General features: G+C 41.9%; 1 protein-coding gene across 19 annotated transcripts in view, besides 1 other annotated feature; it reads right to left on the reverse strand.

Annotated features, from left to right (window-relative positions):
* Positions 10,989–12,188: an enhancer, noted in NCBI's record as "P300/CBP strongly-dependent group 1 enhancer chr3:45859284-45860483 (GRCh37/hg19 assembly coordinates)". NCBI's record gives its function as "activates an origin of replication core promoter dependent on BRD2, BRD4, P300/CBP, MED14 and CDK7 cofactors, with strong dependence on P300/CBP, by STARR-seq in HCT116 cells {active_cell/tissue: HCT116}" and the evidence as "EXISTENCE:reporter gene assay evidence [ECO:0000049][PMID:35650434]".
* The window catches only part of LZTFL1 (leucine zipper transcription factor like 1), a 92,409-nt gene continuing 88,977 nt past the window's right edge, over positions 16,513–19,944 (reverse strand). For all 19 annotated transcript variants that reach the window (NR_175976.1, NR_075080.2, NM_001405925.1 and 16 more), the window contains one exon: positions 16,513–19,529. Coding sequence is in view for 17 of the 19 variants with exons in the window: in NM_001405920.1 (NP_001392849.1) it covers positions 19,511–19,529 (19 nt within the window). In the remaining 2 variants the exon portion in view is untranslated. The remainder of the gene's footprint in view (positions 19,530–19,944) is intronic.

A 19,944-nucleotide genomic window follows, 5' to 3' on the forward strand; every position in this document is an offset into this window, starting at 1 on the left:
GAATTTAAAAAGTGTATAGGCTAGGTGCAGTGACTCACGCCTATAATCCAGCACTTTGGGAGGCCGAGGTGGGAAGATCGCTTGAGGCCAGGAATTTGAGACCAGCCTGGGCAACACAGTGAGACCCTGTCTTTGCAGAAAATTAATTTTTAAAAAATTAGCTAGGCGTGGTGGTACACACCTGTAGTCCTAGCTACTTGGGAGGTTGAGGTGGGAGGATCACTTGAGCCCAGGAGTTGGAGGCTGTAATGAGCTATGAATGCGCCACTGCACTCCAGCCTGGGTGACACAGTAAGACCCCATCAAATAAACAAACAAATAAATAATAAAATAAAAAGTGTACAACCTTCCTGAGTTTACATTCACCAAATGGGGCGTAGTGCTGACCTTCTTCACTGAGCTATTCCAAGCAATTTAGAATATTTGGCAAATATAACAAGACGCAGAGAGCCTCCAGGATCGGAGGAACTGCTGGCCAGAGCTGAAGGCAACATGGCTGCACAGAACTGGCACTGGGTTGGCAGCTGCAGGCTACAGCTCTGTGTTGCTGTGGCTCTGTTTCTGGCTACACTTCTGTGAGATATGATAACAACTAATGGGACACAGATGACTTGAATGGCAGCCTTAAAAATAAAGGAAAATGAAAAGACATCTAAGACTTGAAAGCAAAGAAAGCCTAACTTAAAATAATATAGGGAAATACTAAAATAAATGTTTGAACTTGTACTTCACCAGTATATACTGGTAAAAACTCAGGGCTTCCTGAGCCTCTGAGTAAGGTTACACAATGATTTTAATATTCTATATCCTTTTGCCTGTATGCCTACATCCAAAGGACAACTGTGTCAACTGAGTAACCTGAGTGGATTTTCTGTGAATTGATGCCTATTGTTGTCTGAAGTAACTAATTTGAGTAAACAACACAAAGTGGGCGTCCTTTCTAAAGGAACAAGAGGAATGGAACAAAGAGGCATTTTTCAGGTCAGAGAGAACAGATGCAGAAATGAGCTTGTTTAGAAAACATTGTGGCTTCTCACCACGATCACTCAGCTGATCCCTTGCATTAAGGAAGATTCAGCCACGTGCTGTGAAAACAAGGGACTCAGAGAGCAGTGTGGAATCCTTCCTTCCTTTTTGTTGGTCTTGGCTGAATTTATTCCTTCACCTCAAATATTTTTGCTGGGAACAAGCAATCAATACCAACTAGAAGGCATAATCTGGTGGAGAAAAACAGATGGAGCACTGTGAAAATATTTTCAAGGGTCAGGGTACACCTGGGGCCATGCTGTCTCAATTAGTGACCCCCTAAGGAATTTCACTGTGTCCTGCTGTACTGTTTTGTACTTGCTCTTTTCATTTCATAACAGGAGAAGCCCTGTGAATCTTACTCTGCCAGAAAACACACATGCTTTATTTCACAAGCTCGGTGGTTCAAATTATATTTGATTTCTTTCCCTGCTCCATACTCCAAATGTGGCCTAGCGATGGGCAGCGTCGGCATCGCCAGGGCGCCTGTGGGAAATGCAGACTCTCAGGCCCCTCCCAGACCTCTAGAATCAGAACCTATTTTTAAAAAGACCCCCCCAAGGGATTTGCAGGCAGGTTAATGTCTCAGGAGCACACAGGGTTTTTAACCCTGGCTGCACATCAGGATCCTATCTATGGAGCTTTAAAATACAGATGCACGAGACTCCCTGAAAAACTGAGCTTGGCAGAGGAGTCTCTTGAATGTTTGGCTTCTAGAAGCTTCCATGGTGGCTGATGTGGGATACCCTTCTCCAGAAGAGGAAGATCCCTACCAACACTGCCGTGCCACTCATTATTAACATTTCTAGATCTTCTCCCCACTGGCTCCCCTCCAGTTTCCATATCCCCAATGTCCCTTGTTTAAGGTCCACCTCTGCCTGCTCTTTCCCACTGTTAAAATTTCTCTTCTAAAATACATTCAGAGTCAACAGGAAAAGGTCTTAAAGATAATTTATCACAGATGCAACAACAATTTCTTCTCATGAACTTGAGGAGCCCAAAATCTTTTCCCTGCTTGCCAAGGTGCTATATTGTCTGAAAATAGCTCAACTGCCTGGGAATGGTTTTGTGAAATCGATTCCCTACTGTATTATAGGGAATTAAGTGCTCCCAAAACTTCCCTTCTGACTTTGTTTCCATTTCCCAATATACAGCCTACCCAGAATGACGTGTTATCATTGTCTGCCATGTTTTGTTTCATTTATGCTGTACTTTTTTTTTGGGGGGTGGGGACGGGGCAGATGGAGTCTCACTCTGTCACCCAGGCTGGAGTGCACTGGTGTGATCTCAGCTCACTGCAACCTCCACCTCCTGGGTTCAAGCAATTTTCCTGCCTCAGTCTCCTGAGGAGCTGGGATTACAAGCACATGCCACCACGACTGGCTAATTTTTTGTATTTTTTAGTAGAGACAGGGCTTCACCATGTTGGCAAGGCTGGTCTCGAACTCCTGACCCCAGGTGTTCCATCTGCCTCAGTCTCCCAAAGTGCTTGGATTACAGGTGTGAGCCACCGCGCCTGGCCTATGCCGTACTTTTTGTGTTATAATACAGCATATATGGCATACAGCATACTATGGAAAATAAATACATGTATAAATAATAATTATAAGACAAGTGCTCTTGTAGCCATCACCCAGGTGGTTGAGACTTGGTATAGTGTGTGGCCAGTTTTCATAAATATTCTGTATTTGCACAAAGAGAAAAAAAATTGGATGCTGCAGTTTGTTTTATTTATTAGGCCAAATCTGCTATTGTATTGTTCCTATCTTCTATATCCTTATGATGATTTTGTGTCTGTGCATTCCATCAATCACTGAGAGAAGTGTTAAAATCTTCCATTATGATTGTGAATTTTTCTATTTTCTTTTAATTGTGTCAATTTTTACTTTATAGAATCTGAAGCCATTAAGGACAAACTTTAAATTGTTATATCTTCTTGGAGGGTTAAAATTTTAATCATATGGAATGACTCTATCTCTAGCAGTGTTAAATTCTCTATTTGGATAATTCAGATTGTTGTGTGTTTTCTGCATACACAATTATATCATCTGTGAATGAGTTTTTTTTCTGGCCTCATGCTTTGGTTTAGGCCTCCACCACTATATGTATCTGTCATTGCTCCAAAGTCTCCCTGTCATTGAAGCCTTAGTGACAGCCCTATGTAAAATGTCAACTACCACCCCAACATTGTTTCTCTCTTTCCTTCTTCATTGTATCCCTTGGGCACTATTTGGCATGTTATATGTGTTTCTTGTTTATCAAGCCCGATTTGCTCATTTATTTAAGAGAGGTATCGAGTCTATGTGCCAGACCCTGTTCTGGATATGGGGGATGCAGCAATAAACAAGACAACCACAGATCTCAGCCCCCTCGGAGGATACATTCTGGTGGCGAGGCAGAAAATAGACAAACACCATGCTTCTACTTCAGTAAGGCCTGTCTTGACCACCATATTTTAAGAAAAACATCCCTTCTCTTGATTCTACTTTCCTTTCTACCTACCTTATGCCCCCCCTTTTTTTTTTCGCTTTACTGTTTTATAGCCCAGCCAATCAAGAGATGTCGATGCTTACTTTGTCTCCAAGTTTCTCTTGTTACTTCTCACAGTCACCTCAGCTAGGCCCCTCAGCAGTCCAACAAAACTATCTTGTCAAGGACACCAGTGACCCCCCACATAGCTAAATCCAACAGTCAGCTGTCCCTTTCCTGGACCTGCCAGCTGCATGCCACCCAGGTAATGATTCTTTCCTGCTGATGTGATTTGCCCAGCCAGCATCCAGGGAGACGCTCTCTTGGTCTTCCTCTCACTGGCCCCTGCTGTTCCATCTCTTTTGCTGATGTCTCCTCTTCCCTGATTCCTTGGGGTTGGAGCACCTAGGGCTTCTCACTGACACTCACCTCCTTGGTGTGCCTACCTCTTTAATGGTTTAAAAGCCCTCTCCACCGATAACTCCCAATGTTGTATCTCTAGTCCAGACCACACTTCAGAGGTCTAGACTTGTATGTCTGGTGCCTCCCAACATCCCCATTTGGGTGTCTGAGAGGCATTTCATGGTTGTCTAAAAGAGGATTTCTGGCCAGACGTAGTGGCTCATGCCTGTAATCCCAGCACTTTGGGAGGCCGAGGCAGGTGGATCACCTGAGGTCAGGAGTTTGAGACCAGCCTGGCCAACATGGCAAAACCCCGTCGCTACTAAAAATACAAAAATTAGCTGGGCATGGTGGCGGGCACCTGTAAAAATTAGCTGGGCATGGTGGAAGGCACCTGTAATCCCAGCTACTAGGGAGGTTGAGGCAGGATAATCACTTGAACCCAGGAGAAGAAGGTTGCAGTGAGCCAAAATCGTGCCACTGCGCTCCAGCCTGGGCGACAGAGCAAGACTCTGTCTCAAAAAAAAAAAAAAAAAAAAAAAAGAAAGAGAATTTCTTATCTTTGCCCACTTCCCTTCCTAAAGCCAGCTCCCTATCTCTGTTGACACCAAGCCTAGCCTAGCAGTTGCTCAGCCCCAAACCCTTGAAGTCATCCTGAGTCCTATCTCTCATCTCCTTTCAATCTGTGCTGATAGTCTATTAGTTTTCCCTTCAAAATATATCCAGAACCTAACTCTCTGACACTGCTGATGGGAGTGTAAATTGGACACCTGGAAAATTTGGGGGGCAGTGTCTACTAATATTGAACATTCATATATGCTGTGATCCAGCAATGACACTCCTAGATGTACATACCTACACCAAAAGATCCACACTAGACGTTTATATTAGCATTCTCTGTATTAGCCACAGACTAGCAAAACTCCAAATGTCCAGCAACAGTATGATGGATAAATTATGGAATATTGCCACTATACAGCAATGAGAACAAAAAAAAATTGCTACATGCAACAATAGGGATGACACTCACAAGCACAGTGTTGAAAGAAGCTGGACACAACAGAGTCTATGCTGTATGATTTCACGTACATAAAGTTCAAAAAGGAAGTCAGGAGAGTGGTTACCTTTGGAAGGAGATGGTGCCTGGGGGCCAGCACAGGAGGCCTCTAGGGGTGCAGATAATGAGTGATTCTTCATCTGGGTACCTTAGTGCTTTGTGCAAATTCTTTGAGCTGTATGCTTATGATGTGTGCACTTTGCGTACATAAGTTTTACTTAAATTGAAAAAGAAATCCAGCTTCAACCACCCTTATCACTTCTTTTTTTTTTTTTTGACAGAGCTTTGCTCTTGTTGCCCAGGCTGGAGTGCAATGGCACCCTCTTGGCTCACTGCAACCTCCGCTTCCCGGGTTCAAGCGATTCTCCTGCCTCAGCCTCCCGAGTAGCTGGGATTACAGGTATGCGCCACCATGCCTGGCTAATTTTGTATTTTTAGTAGAGACAGGGTTTCACCATGTTGGTCAGGCTGGTCCTGAACTCCCGATCTCAGGTGATCCGCTCCCCCCTTGGCCTCCCAAAGTGCTGGGATTACAGGCATGAGCCACCATGCCTGGCTTACCCTTATTACTTCTATATTCCTACCTCAGTCTAGGCCACTACCATCTTTCACCTGGATGACTACTAATTTTTTTTTTTTTTTTTTGAGACGGAGTCTCACTCTGTTGCCAGGCTGGAGTGCAGTGGCACGATCTCAGCTCACTGCAACCTCTGCCTCCCAGGTTCCAGCAATTCTCCTGCCTCAGCCTCCTGAGTAGCTGGGACTACAGGTGTGCGCCACCACATCCAGCTAATTTTTGTATCTTTAGTAGAGACGGGGTTTCACCATGTTGGCCAGGATGGTCTCAATCTCTTGACCTTGTGATTCGCCTGCCTGGGCCTCCCAAAGTGCTGGGATTACAGGTGTGAGCCACCACACCCAGCTGACTACTAATATTCAGTCACCTCTTCACCCCTGCTCACAATCTAGCCCAAGGACAGTCTATTCTTTTTTTTTTTTTTTGACAAGGTCTCAATTTGTCACGCAGGCTGGAGTGCAGTGGCATGATCATGGCTCACTGCAGCCTCCCACCTCCCTGGCTCAAGCGAGATCCTCCCACCTCAGCCTCCTGAGTAGCTGGGACTACAAGCATGTACCACCTACCTAATTTTTAAATTTTTTGTAGAGATGAGGTTTTGCCATGTTGCCTAGGCTGGTCTCAAACTGGACTCAAGTGATCTGCTCACCTGGGCCTCCCAAAGTGCTAAGATTACAGGCATGCACCACTGTACCCGGCCAACAGTCTATTCTTAATGCAACCACAGAGTCGTCCTTTTTAAATAGCATCAGGTTTTATCATTCCAAGGCTTATAACCCTGCAATGGCTCCTCATATCCTTTGCTCAGTGTCTCCTCAATGAGGTCTATCCTGACCACCCTGCTGAAGCTGCATCCAGCATCCCTCCAGCACTCTTGATCCTCCTTGTTCTACTCTATTATTATTATTACCATAGCACTTTCTTCTTGTAACATATTATAGGGGTTTGAAAGGTAGCCCCCCAAAAGATACATCTACCCAGAACCTATGAGCGTGACTTCATTTGGAAAAAGGGTCTTTGCAGATGTCATTAAGTTGGGGCCTTGAGATGAGATTATCCTGGATTAGGATGGGCACTAAATCCAATGACAAGTGTCTTGAAGAGAAGAGGAGAAGATAAAAGGGAAGGTGATCTGACGACAGAGGCAGAGACTGAAGTGATGTGTCTATAAGCCAAGGAATGGCGAGAACGGCCAGCAGCCACCAGAAGATACGAGAGGCATGCACTGCATCTCCCTCAGAGCCTCCAGAAGGAACCAGCTCCACCAGCACCTGCATTTAGGACTTCTGGCCTCCAGAAGTCCTGCGAGAGAGTAAATTTCTGTTGTTTTAAGCTATGCAGTTTATGGTAATTTGTTACAGTAGTCCTAGGAAACTAATACACATACTGCATAATTTATTTACTATTTATTATTTTCCGTATGCTGTCACTGTAAGCTCCTTGAGGGTACAAATTATGATTCTGTTCACAATCTATTTCAAATACCAGTGCTTGACACACAGTAGGCACTCAAACTTAAAAATAATTGATTCTATTGATAAAGTTAATAAATATTGATTAAAGTAATCTAAGATTTCGTTGGATAAATGAATTGTGACATATCTATACACTAGAAGGTACTACTCAACAATAAAAGGAATGAATTATTATATACACACCAATATAGATGAATCTTAAATACATTTTGCTAAGTGAAGGAAGCCAGATATTAAAGAGAATATACTATATGATTTCATTATGTGAATTCTAGAAAAGGCAAATCAAAGCTGTCAAGAGAAAAAGCAGTTCGGTGCTTGCTCAGGGACCAACCAGGCTCAGGGAGCCTGGCTGCAAAGGGACATGAAGGGACTTGGTGAAGTGATGAAAGTGTCCTCTATTCTGATTGTGGTGGTGGTTCCAGGGCTATCTATATTTGCCAAAACTCTTCAAACTGTACCTTTAAAAGGGGTACATGTTATTGTAAATTATACCTCAAAAAGGTGATAAAATAAGGTGGTTCATTTATTTAGAATAATGTAATAATTGTCTAAAGCAAATACCAAGTATAGACTCTGGAGCAGGCCTAAAGGTGTCAGAGTCAAAAAATATATGGCAAGAAGGTACAGTAGAAGGAAGCAAAAGATATAAAACCCCAACAACAGAAAAGAGACAGCTGCTGATTATTGAGAGCTCTCCCAAGGATGTACGCATGAGAAGACACCATTAGCAGAGCCCACACTGCGGACCGTGCAGTGACATCTCCCTTGCTGCATCAAGCCCCTGGAACACAAACCAGCAGCCTCTGTCATGAAAGAAAACCGCTGCTGGAGAGGCAGGAGGATAGCTTGAGCCCAGGACTTTGATACCTGCCTGGGCAATACAGTGAGATCCCATTCTCCACAAAAAGGAAAAAGAAGGAAAGAAAGAAAATCTCTGTGGGGTAAATAGAGCAGCTGTTCTGGGGGATGCTGGTAGTTGTTTGTTATCCCCACCCACCTCACTATCTCCCTGTTCTTTCCTTCAAGATGGCCTTAATTCTGACGACAGATCACTGATTTCATTTATGAAGTGGAGTAAACACTGCTTAAAGTATTCAAAGGTTTCACTGAATATGATCAGGATCAAGCTCTTTAAAAAAGTTAATCAGTTATTGGTTCAGAAACACTGCTGGTGGCTTTCAAATAACATGTTTTATAAGAAAGAGAAATTCCAGACTAGTCTCTCTTGTGAAGATTGATGGAAAAGGGCCTGCATTGCCAAGACAATCCTAAGCCAAAAGAACAAAGCTGAGCGCATCACACTACCTGACTTCAAACTACACTACAAGGCTATAGTAACCAGAACAGCATGGTACTGGTACCAAAACAGAGATATAGACCAATGGAACAGAACAGAGCCCTCAGAAATAATACCACACATCTACATCCATCTGATCTTTGACAAACCTGACAAAAACAAGAAATGGGGAAAGGAGTCCCTATTTAATAAATGGTGCTGGGAAAACTGGCTAGCCATATGTAGAAAACTGAAACTGGATCCCTTCCTTACACCTTATACAAAAATTAATTCAAGATGGATTAAAGACTTAAATGTTAGACCTAAAACCATAAAAACTCTAGAAGAAAACCTAGGCAATACCATTCAGGACATAGGCATGGGCAAGGACTTCATGACTAAAACACCAAAAGCAATGGCAACAAAAGCCAAAATTGACAAATGGGATCTAATTAAACTAAAGAGCTTCTGCACAGCAAAAGAAACTACCATCAGAGTGAACTGGCAACCTACAAAATGGGAGAAAATTTTTGTAATCTACTCATCTGACAAAGGGCTAATATCCAGAATCTACAAAGAACTCAAACAAATTTGCAAGAAAAAACAAACAACCCCATCAAAAAGTGGGTGAAGGATATGAACAGACACTTTTCAAAAGAAGACATTCATGCAGCCAACAGACACATGAAAAAAATGCTCATCATCACTGGCCATCAGAGAAATGCAAATCGAAACCACAATGAGATACCATCTCACACCAGTTAGAATGGCGATCATTAAAAAGTCAGGAAAAACCTTCAATAATTTATCGGCTAACTGGAACTAGCAAGATATGAAAAGGATAGTATATCATCACTGTCTTAGAACAGGACCCTTGTAAATTATACCTCAAAATAAGGGGGAGTAGACTCTGAGGCCAAGATTGTGTGCAGGATGTCGATCAGGAGGGAGCCTTGGGGCCAACAGGTGTAAAGGAAGTCAAGGCAGCAGGACTGGGCAGGCCCAGTGGCATGGCTGTCAGCCCTGTGGGGAGCTCTGAGGATGAGACACACTTTGACACTGTCCCACACTGAGGCGAGAGAGTTATGTCTCCATTGATTGTTACTGGAGGCAGCCACCTTGAAAGGGAGCATAAACTTGGGCAAGGTGGTTCTCTTCAGCTGGGCAGTGCTCAAATGGCAGACAATGAAGGGCCAGCTGCTAGCAGGTCTTCCAGTGGCTGGGGCCATAGTCCCTTTATTCCTGAATGGAGATTAGGAATAATCTGCACACAGTGGCAGCAAAGGCAAGGCCAAGTCAGATGGTAATGATATGAGCTGCTTTTAATTTCAGGCAGTTGATTACTTACATAGACAGGGAAAGGAAGTGGGTCAGCCAAAGGTGCTAGGTTCCTCGGTCCTTCTCTCACACTCCAAAAAGGACAACACCTACTCAAAAGGGGCAGGATGACTGCAACAGGAGTTGTGGGATACTTTGTTGCTGGGGAGCCAAGCCTAGACTGCAGCTAAGTGGTTTTGCATTCTGCAGGTCTATTCTGAGCTCTTCAGAATCTCATCAAAACCCTCGCAGGAAAGACAGGGAGGCAAGAGGAGCTGGCCTCGGGGCAACTCCTCACAAGCTTCCCATCCTCCCTGTTCTGGGAGAATCATGAGGCATTTTGCCAAGACCTAGACTATTAATAACTGTGGCTCAACCCTTGCCTGTACAGCATCTGGGCCAGGATGGAACCGTTCTCTACAGCACCTGATGCAACAACCAAGTGGAGTATGTTTCAGGCCTCTAAGGATAGTTTAACAGTAAGAAATTAAATATCATTCACAACATTAACAGAAAAAAGAGAAAAATTATATCATCTCAACAGATGCAGAAAAGGCATTTGGCAAAATTCAACACCCATTTATAGTTTAAGCTTTTCTAGCAAACTAGGAATAAAAAAGAACTTCCTTAATTTGACACCGAATATAGCAAGCATTATTCTTTTTTTTTTTTTTTTTTTTTTCTGAGAACAGTCTTGCTCTGTTGCCCAGGCTGGAGTGCAGTGGTGCGATCTCGGCTCACTGCAACGTCTGCCTCCCAGGTTCAAGCTATTCTCCTGCTCAGCGTCCTGAGTAGCTGGGACTACAGGCGTGCACCACCACGCCTGGCTAATTTTTTGTATTTTTAGTAGAGATGGAGTTTTACCATGTTGACCAGGCTGGTCTTGAACTCCTGACTTCAGGTAATTTGCCCATCTTGGCCTCCCAAAGTGCTGGGATTACAGGCGTGAGCTACTGTGCCCAGCCTGCAAGCATTATTCTTATTGGTGAAATATTTAAAGTGTTCTCCCTGAGACTGGGCATGAAGCAAAGATGCTATCTTTTCTATTCAACATTGTACTAGAGGTCCTAGCCAGTGCAATAAGGCAAGAGAAATAAATAAAAGGCTCACAATCTCATTTATTCAAAATTATTTACCTGGAAACCCCAACTATTTGAAACAAAGCTGGTAATCTGGAAGACTAACATTCTCTTATAAAGCAATCTAAAAAGGTCTTGGAGCAGCAAAGATGCCACAAAGCCTATGCTCTTCACACACAGAGTCCCTTAAGCCCTCATCCTGAAGCTACGTACAATCCTAATAAATGGCTCCATTTATTTTCCAAGCCCACCTTGGAAAATGGCAAGAGATTGGCAAACCAAACAAAACCAATGTTAGCTACCAGCCTAAAAGGAAAGAACACGCATAAACCATAAAACGTAGATGCAGCAGTTTAAAAAAACAGTGCTTATAAATCACTTATTAAAAGGGCAAACAGCTCCACACCTCAGCAGCCCTGAGGGCACTGCAGTGCAGGACAATAATTGACACTTGTAATAATGACTTTGAGTCATCAGGAAAAGATAAGATTATGCTTATGACTCACTGCTTAAGAAGGCAGGAAATTATATTTTGTATTAAAGGTTTTTAATGTCTGATTTTAAAGAAGTTTGGGTTATTTATATGGAGAAATTTTAGTGTTAGGAAATTACTTTATAGGTAATATCTGATTTCTTTTACAACCTAACCACTAAGGTTTTTCATGGCTTAAGCAGTACTTGGCCAGGAAACAGAAGTCAATTTCACAAGTGTTTGGATTGAGCACCTGTGATACTTGAGTCATAATGACGGGCTCTGCTCCAGGCACTCAGTCCAGGGATGTTCTTTTTTTTTTCAGAGTTGTTACTATTTAAAGGCAGCTGTGGCTTGGCCACGTGAGCATACTGGGCTGAAAATGGTAAGCAGGATTTGTAATTTCTTCTAAGTCGAGTCGACCCTTTGATGAGTAAGTATTGAAAGCATGCAAATATTCCTTGCATTTGCTCTTCTATCTTCTTAGTTCACTGTGGGATGAGATGCTATTGATGTCACACCCAATTCCCCTTATCCCAGCCTGGAATGTGGCCTGCAGAAGGTTCTCTGTGTCTCTTCACCTGAAGCCCTTTCTTGGCTACGGAAGCATGTTCAGCCTAGGTCCAACAACAAGGAGTTAACATCTCAGGAGTAATCCTCATCTTGATAAATTAAGGCCTGGTGGATACATTCCCAGCTTCCTCACGTCTCAGTGGGATTGAGCGTGGTGGTCCACAGTGCTAACCTGCTCATTAACACACATTTTATCTCCTTTCTTCCCTTTCCTACCTCATGCCTCCGTACCCTCACCCCACTTTCTGGGATCCCCTCCCCACTTCAACCAAGATCCCTGCCTCAGGGTTTTGCTTTTGGGGGAGCTGAAATAAAACATCTGGTGCCAGAAATGGCCCTAGAAAGTGGCCTCAGGATGAGACACTGGACTTGATGCCAGCCAGATGACAACAGGATCCCACTGCTAGTAGTAAGTGTAGTGGTGATAAACCCTGTCACACTACTGGGTTAGTTACCAACACTCTCACCTGGGTATGGATTGGAATGAAAGAAGAGAAGACAGTCTCTGATTAGCCAACTATTACCTGAAGAGATGCCCTGACAACTAGAAAGCCCCCAGGTCTCTATTTAAAAGAACCCACATCTCCTATGTGCAGAAGCCAGAATGTACTGAGAATCCGGCCCATGATTGGATTACAGCAGTGATGCAGATTCAAAGGAGACCAAATTCACATGCCCGGAAAGTCTCCTTTGCTTAAGTCAGGGCCCTGATTGGGAAGGAATGTGACTCTGAGATATGAGGGGCCCATTTGGGCAAATGCCCTCAACGACCTTGATATCCCAGATTCTTCTGAACCCTTGGGTCTAGAAGAAGTGGCTCACTCCCCCTTGCTAGAGGAGGGTAGCCTCCTATCACCTGGAAGCCATTCCAAGGCCTCTCTTGAAAGGAGACTGGCAAGATAACCTTGGTCTTCCTCAGGATCGGTCCCTACTTCCACTCATTACTTCTAAACCAATAAATAGGGCTGAATATCAGCATGCCCTATGCAGAGAAATATTATCCTGCTTTGAGAAGAAATGGATTAGTCCCCCAAAAGAACAGAACCTGGACTGGCAGAAACTGGAAGAACATGTATGGTTATGGATCTTGAGGATGCTGGCCTAGTGGGAAGTAGAAAAGAAGTTGGATAAGGAAGAGTTTATTGACATAGACTGTCTTCTGTGACTCAGGATTTGGCATGTTTGTAAGAACACATGGAGCCAGTCCTAATACACTGCTGCAATGGGCCTTGGTGCTTGAGGATGATGGTATGCCAAAAACGAGGTGGAGATTCCACAACTGCTTAACAAGAGTGCTGAGGAGGGTTCAGAAGGCTCAGAGGGATGACATGCTAGAATGGATATAAGGCGAGAGAGCCCACCCATGGGCAGGGGTATTTCCTTCACTGAAACAATAAAGACTGCATTGGTAAGGGGACATTAACATTGTTGAGAAGCTCAGTGGTGGCTGTCTTCTGTTGGCTAGAACTGACAACAGAAGATGCTGGCACATAACTGGGCCTCCTATGATAGGAAGGATTCCAGAACAAAAAACTAATGGCTGCACTCAGACATTAGAGGAATAAAATGAATACAGTAACCTAATGGGCCGTAAGGCCAGAAGAACAACCAGGGAGCCAAGGACCAGTGGCTAATAGATTACGGCGCTCCTAGAGGTGAGGTGAATGGGCAGTCAATGAAGTTACTGTTATAAAACCAAGCCAACCAACCAAACAGCTGATGAGTAAAAGACTGATGTCAGCCACCACAGTGGAAAATCCTGATCTCTCATAGTTACCAGACCTAGTCAGTTCTCAGTTCCAGAGCCCATGGATTGAAGGAGAGTCTGGGTCTCCTGAGGAGGAGCCCTGCAGCACTATAGCAATCTTAAATAATACACACTGTCTCAAATCTTTCCCAAAGAGCCCCATGGCCATTTTTCAGAGTAACTGTATGCTGAGAAAGCAGAATATACACATCTTTCAAGAGCTACTCAACATAGGGCCTGAGTGACATACCCAGGGGATCTAAAGCACCACCACAGCCCTCTTGTTAGAGTGGGACATATAAGATAGGCAATCTATAAAGTTCTGACCCAAGGCTATCTCAGGGCAGATCCAGTAGGCCTGTGGGTCAATCCCCTGATCTCCCTTGTTTCTGAGAGGATAAATGGGATGAGTGCACTTAACTGAGAGACCCCAAAATTGGTTTCTTGACCTGAGGGATAAGAGCCATAATGGTAGAAAAGGCTTATTTAATGCTCCAAAATGCTCTCTCCATCCCACCCCCTCCCCACTCCTGGTCAAAATCAGGGGCAACATCCCAGGAGTATTGACAGTGATCCCCACAATATCCCATTGAATGGTTCCTGCAAAGCAAAACAGAGCAAAAGTGGAAGATGACAGTGGACTAACATAAACCAAGAAGTAGCTCCAATAGCAGCTGCTGTGCTGGATGTAGCATCCCTTCGAGTCAGCACTTGATATGAGGCTGGAGATTTGGTTAATGAATTCTTTTAAATCCCCTTCAGAAAAGAGAATCAAGAACAGGTTGAATTCACCTGGGTCAGATAACACAGTGTACACTCAAAGTTTTGCTCCAGGAGCATATAAACCCTCCTGCTCTGTTACAAAACTGTCCAAAGAAGTCCTTGATCATCGTGACATTCTGTAGAACATCATCCTGGTCCAATACTTTGATGACAAAATGTTAACTGGACCTAGTGAACAGGAATGAACTGGCAAATAATCTGAGTGTTCCTTATGACACATGCACCAGAGAGAAGGAGGTAATTCCTACAAAGATTCAGAGGTCAGAGGTCCAACAATCTAGGGAATACTGGGACATCCTGCCAAGTCAAGAGCCAGTTATTGCATTTTGTACCTTCTACTACTAAGAGAGGTAAGCACTAGGTAGTATTATCTGGATTCTGAAGTCAGCATGTACAACACTTAGGAATATTGCTCTGACCATTTCTTGGGTCACTCAGAAGGCTGCAAGTTTTGAGTACACAGTTAGGAGGGCTTTGTACCTCTCTATGGTTCAGGCTGTAGTGTAGGGGTACCTCTTGGTGATATGTGGGGGTAACAATAAATGGGAAATTTCACAAATACAGCAGGACAGGGGCAAAATGATCAGGGGCTCAGACATCTAAGAAAGGAAAGTCTAGGTCATCTCATGAGGCCAGCCATGCTGACCAGCAAAAGTGCTGGTTGAGGGTGAGGGGAATCTAGAATAAGTAGAAGAGGGAGATGATAAATGTTAATTATGGCTTCAGGACCAATATGCAACAGAGAGGACTACAGCCTGTCCCACTAAGCTTTTCGTTGATGTTTTCCTTTTTGTATTCATTGTTTTAAAAATATTGTGACCAACCATTATCCTCGAGAGAAAGTGAACTTAACATGGGACACCAGGTGGTACAGTAGAGCGGAGTGGATGGCTGGAGATGCTGGTGATTACTTCAACATATCCCCTTCATCTATTCCCAGAGGTTTTCTTTTCTTTTAATTGAGATATAACTTACGTATAAAATTTATCATTTTAAAGTATACAATTCAGTGATTTTTAGTATAGTCACAAAGTTGTACAACTATTACAACTATCTAATTCCAGAACATTTCATACCCTCAAAATGAAATGCAGGACCCATTAACAGTCACTCCCCATCTACTCCTGAGTTTGCAAGCAGACAGTTCCCATGCTTGGCTTCTGGAGGAGTCTCTTTGCCTGAGAGCATTCTCTGGAATTTGGTCTACATCCAGGCAGGCTGGACATGGCAAGGAATTAATACCTCAGATTTCTAACCTCAACCAGTGAGGGATGGAAAGTGGTGGATAATATTCCCAGCTACCTTGTCCTTCAGTGTAATAATTCAGAGATGTTTTCTGTACCATGTCTCAGAGGGTCCCCAGCAGGATTGGGTCCCAGTTGCCCATAGTGGTGACTCTTTCGATCTGTCTCAGTTCCTCAGTCTTCCGCGGGATTTCCTGAAATCACTTCCCAAATAAACTACCTGCACCCAAATCCTTATCCTATAGTCTACATTTGGGAAAACCCACCTACGATTCTTTTCAACAAGACTATCATGAGGTCTTTGTCAAGCACCTTGCTGAAATTCTGACATACTATACCTCTCATGCTTTTAAAAAGACAAATGAGGCCGGGCGCAGTGGCTCACGCCTGTCATCCCAGCACTTTGGGAGGCCAAGGTGGGCGGATCATGAGGTCAGGAGATCGAGACCATCCTGGCTAATATGGTGAAACCCCGTCTCTACTAAAAATACAAAAAAATTAGCCAGGCATGGTGGCAGGTGCCTGTAGTCCCAGCTACTCGGGAAGCTGAGGCAGGAGAATGGCTTGAACCTGGGAGGTGAAGCTTGCAGTGAGCTGAGATCACGCCACTGCACTCAAGCCTGAGCAACAGAGTGAGACTCTTGTCTCAAAAAAAAAAAAAAAAGACAAACGAGTTTAGTCTGCCGTATCATGTGATCACATGCCACTATGTGCAGCTAATTTTTAAATTTTTTGTAGAGATGGGGTCTTGCGATATTGGCCAGGCTCGTTTTGACTTACTGGCCTCAAGCGATCCCCCTGCCTGGAACTCCCAAAGCGTTGTAATTACAGTCATGAGACACCGCGACTGGCCCTGCCATACCTGATTTCTTACTAGGGAGATCCATGCTGGCTCCTGGTGGTTATGTTTCTTTTCCAAGTGCTCATGAAAATCCATTTAATAAGCTGTTAGTTAATTTGACAGTAAGCCCATTGTTATTTTACAAAACTATAAAGGATTTTCCAAGTTCCATTTTGCTTTGTCTAACAGTGGTTTTTTAATCTGTAAAAGTTAAAGGATGTATTATAGGCAAAAAAGAGAGGAAGTTATACTTCATATAATGTAAGAGATTGAGTACTGTTCACATCAATTCATGTTTTACAATAGGCAATAACAGCTACACGCTTACTTGATGAAGGAGCTGATGACACAATCCAAAAGACACCACAGTCCCCCACAAAAGCCTCCAAACCAGTTGTCACCAACCCACTCACCTCTATTCAAGACAGAGGTCATTACCTTTAAGTATAATATTTCCCCTTTTTCCTAAGCAGTTTTGAAAATGGTTTTGTCAAAATATTATTGTCTAAATACTACTGTTTTGTCTAAATGTGAAATATCATTTTGCTGAAATAGCTTTTCTTTCTGGAAGACTGGCTTACATGACAATTTATGATTTGAATATCTAGTGGCAAAGCTTTGGAACATAGGCATTTACACATAAGCAGAGGGAAATCATTAATGCCAAACTTTTGCAACCAATATATATCTAAAAGCACCAAGGGCTTAAAATTTGAGCATCTCTATAAATCTCTTTCAGTTAATCAGAATGGAAATAATGAATAGCAAAGGCTTTATCAAATAAGATTACACAGTCAAGGTAGGGCAGTATTTTTCTTATGCTGAGTTTTATAAGACATAAGCAAATTATCATTTAAACATTTATTTAATATAGGTTAAAATGTAATACATAAAGAGAAAAAATGAACACAAATGTCAAACAGAAGAAAACCCTTTATATTTTATTTTGGTCAACAAAAAGTCTGTGCATAACTCAGCAGCAGGCCTGAATTAAATTAAACCAAAGCTGCATTGTGATGGCCATCAATGTACAGACTGCCTGTCTGGCTTAGCACATCAAAAGTCTAATCAAGGCTCAAACCACCATCCTTAGAAATCCAATATATATATATATGAAAAAGGCTTTCTTTCTCAGTTAAATTAGATAAGTCTTAAAGTTGGGAAACTACTAAAAACAATAAAAATTTAAAACTGTATTTTGCTAAAGGGTATAGAGTAAATAACAACAACAACAACAACAACAAAAATGACAAACCAGAAACACTAAAATGTGTTTACATGTGAAAGAATCATCACGTTGATTTACGTCAAAGAACATCATATTTGTTTATCTTAATGCTTGGCATAGTTGGTTTTAAGGTTTTAGAAATATTTTTGAATTTATTATTAAACAATAGGAACGTACTGTACAGAATATTTCAAAACTGCTACCAAGAAAACAAGTACAAATTCTACCTAGCAATATAGGTTTCTTATCAACATACCTTTTTTCCTCACTGGTTTCAAACTGACAAAGGTGTAGGGAGAAAATAATTGAATGGTTTCTGAAGGCCACACTAGCCCTTTAGCCAAGAGTTCTGCTTCTGAATTACATAGAACATCTTGGTCCACAGACAATGGAATGGATTTTTGGAGAGAGTGTCAATTTAGGGCTAAAGAAATACAGGGTGAGAATGAAGCCCTCAACAAAAGCTCCAAAAGGGCACAGAAACTGGTAAGTGACCTAAATATGGAGAGACAGGTGAGGAGAAAATACATAGTAAATGCTGGCTCGTTATTGCATTTTATTCTCTCCCTTCTCTCATCCATTCATCTTCTTAAGACTGCCTTCTGTGTCCTTTTGCAGGGAAATTATCTTACCCTTTAACATTTGTTCCTTCACTATTTTAACAAAAAGCCTATAAGAAAAATAATAAATTCAAGGCTATTACTAAAAGCTTGAATAAAAATAACAACAAGCCCTATGCTCCAATCAGTAAACTCGTTTCTTGGAATAAAATCTTCATTTGTGGAAATGGAATGATGTCTCTTAGTAGACAGTGTTCATTTAGGGTGTGATACTCTCACTTTTAGAAGCAGGAAAAATTACTAAATATTAATATGTGAAAAGTAAGGACTTTCCTTCTGAGGGATTATTGCTTTATGGACTTGACTTTGTTTATCCTTATAGTATATCACTGCCTTACATAACTGTGGATATGATGCCCAGTTTCTAATGATTTGTCCAAAATCGTCTGAGAAAACCAGGCCAATACAAATATAGTGAAAACCTCTTGAAAATACAATTATTATAGACCCACATAAATAAAGTCTAATCTGAAGTCTGATAGCTGATTTTATGTTGAATATACGTCTTTTAAAAAGTGTTCTTATTGAACATAAAATGTAAAATAACATTCTGGAAACAAGTATAAATATTACATTTATTCTGAGTCCAGATACTTTCTAAACTGTAGAAGTGCAGGATGGATTTGACTTATCCATTAGTAATACAGACTCATGAAAAGTTATGCTGCAAAAAATGCTGAACCTCCTCTGATAAATGATCTTTAAGATGGAGAGACTGAGGAAGCTAAGTGAATGTTCATGTTCACTGCTGTAAATTTTCCTTATAATTGGTAAAAAGGCTACCCATAATAGAATTCACATTTTCAATGAATTTATAGTTTATCATCAAATAGAGTAAATGAATTAAGATTTCATTTTTAAAAATAAAGAGACATATTTATTTGTAATAACTCTCTTTTTTTGGTAATAACTATCTTTAACAATGCTATTATTTATTTTTACCCATGGGGAATGCATAAGTACAAACATTGTTAGCTTATTTAACATTTATTAAAAATACAGACTCTTTATACTAATGCAGAAGGATAAGCCTCTTCTTCCCACTCTAAAAATCTCTTCTTTGCTGTAAAGAATTCTCAGTGCATGTGAGCTAAGACTCTGGAGCACTCAGTAGAGAGGTGTGTGGGATGACCAGACAGAATCACTAGGTTTTCTCTGTTTTCAACTAGCTGAAAATAGGAACTCTAGTTCTAAATATTCAAAGTCTAAATATTAGAAAAATAAGGAGAGGGGATATGACAAAATGCTTTTCAAAATACATGCCTGAGGTGAGACTGCTTGTATGTTTGCATGTGGTAGCTTCCAGAGGAAATCTTCAGTTTTAATCTTCAGGTTCATATCTGGAGATATAAATTAAGAACACAATGTCAGGATACCTTTTGTTGTTGTTATTACCAAATAAGTTTACTTGAAGCAGTGGCACTATATTTCTCACTTCAAATTACTGTTACGGTAGAAGTTGGACACATTCAACTTTGTTTTGATGGTGACTCAGAGGGGATTTTTACATCAGGTAGGAGGATAGGCCAGATCACTGCTAAGGCTCCAAGTCTGTATATTTGGCATTTAGACCTGTGATAACTTCATATAATTACCTCAATCATCATGTTGACAAGAACAGTTGATACGACTATATGAGTAAAGGGCTAGCAAATCTACTTCTCTAAGGACAAATCTCACCTTGAATTCCCTTTCTAGCTCTGCTCCCCTGGAACTCTGATAAAGGTAAAATGTCAACTCAGTTTCCAGGCAAAA

This window comes from Homo sapiens, chromosome 3, assembly GCF_000001405.40.
Source record: "Homo sapiens chromosome 3, GRCh38.p14 Primary Assembly".
Lineage (NCBI taxonomy): Eukaryota > Metazoa > Chordata > Mammalia > Primates > Hominidae > Homo > Homo sapiens.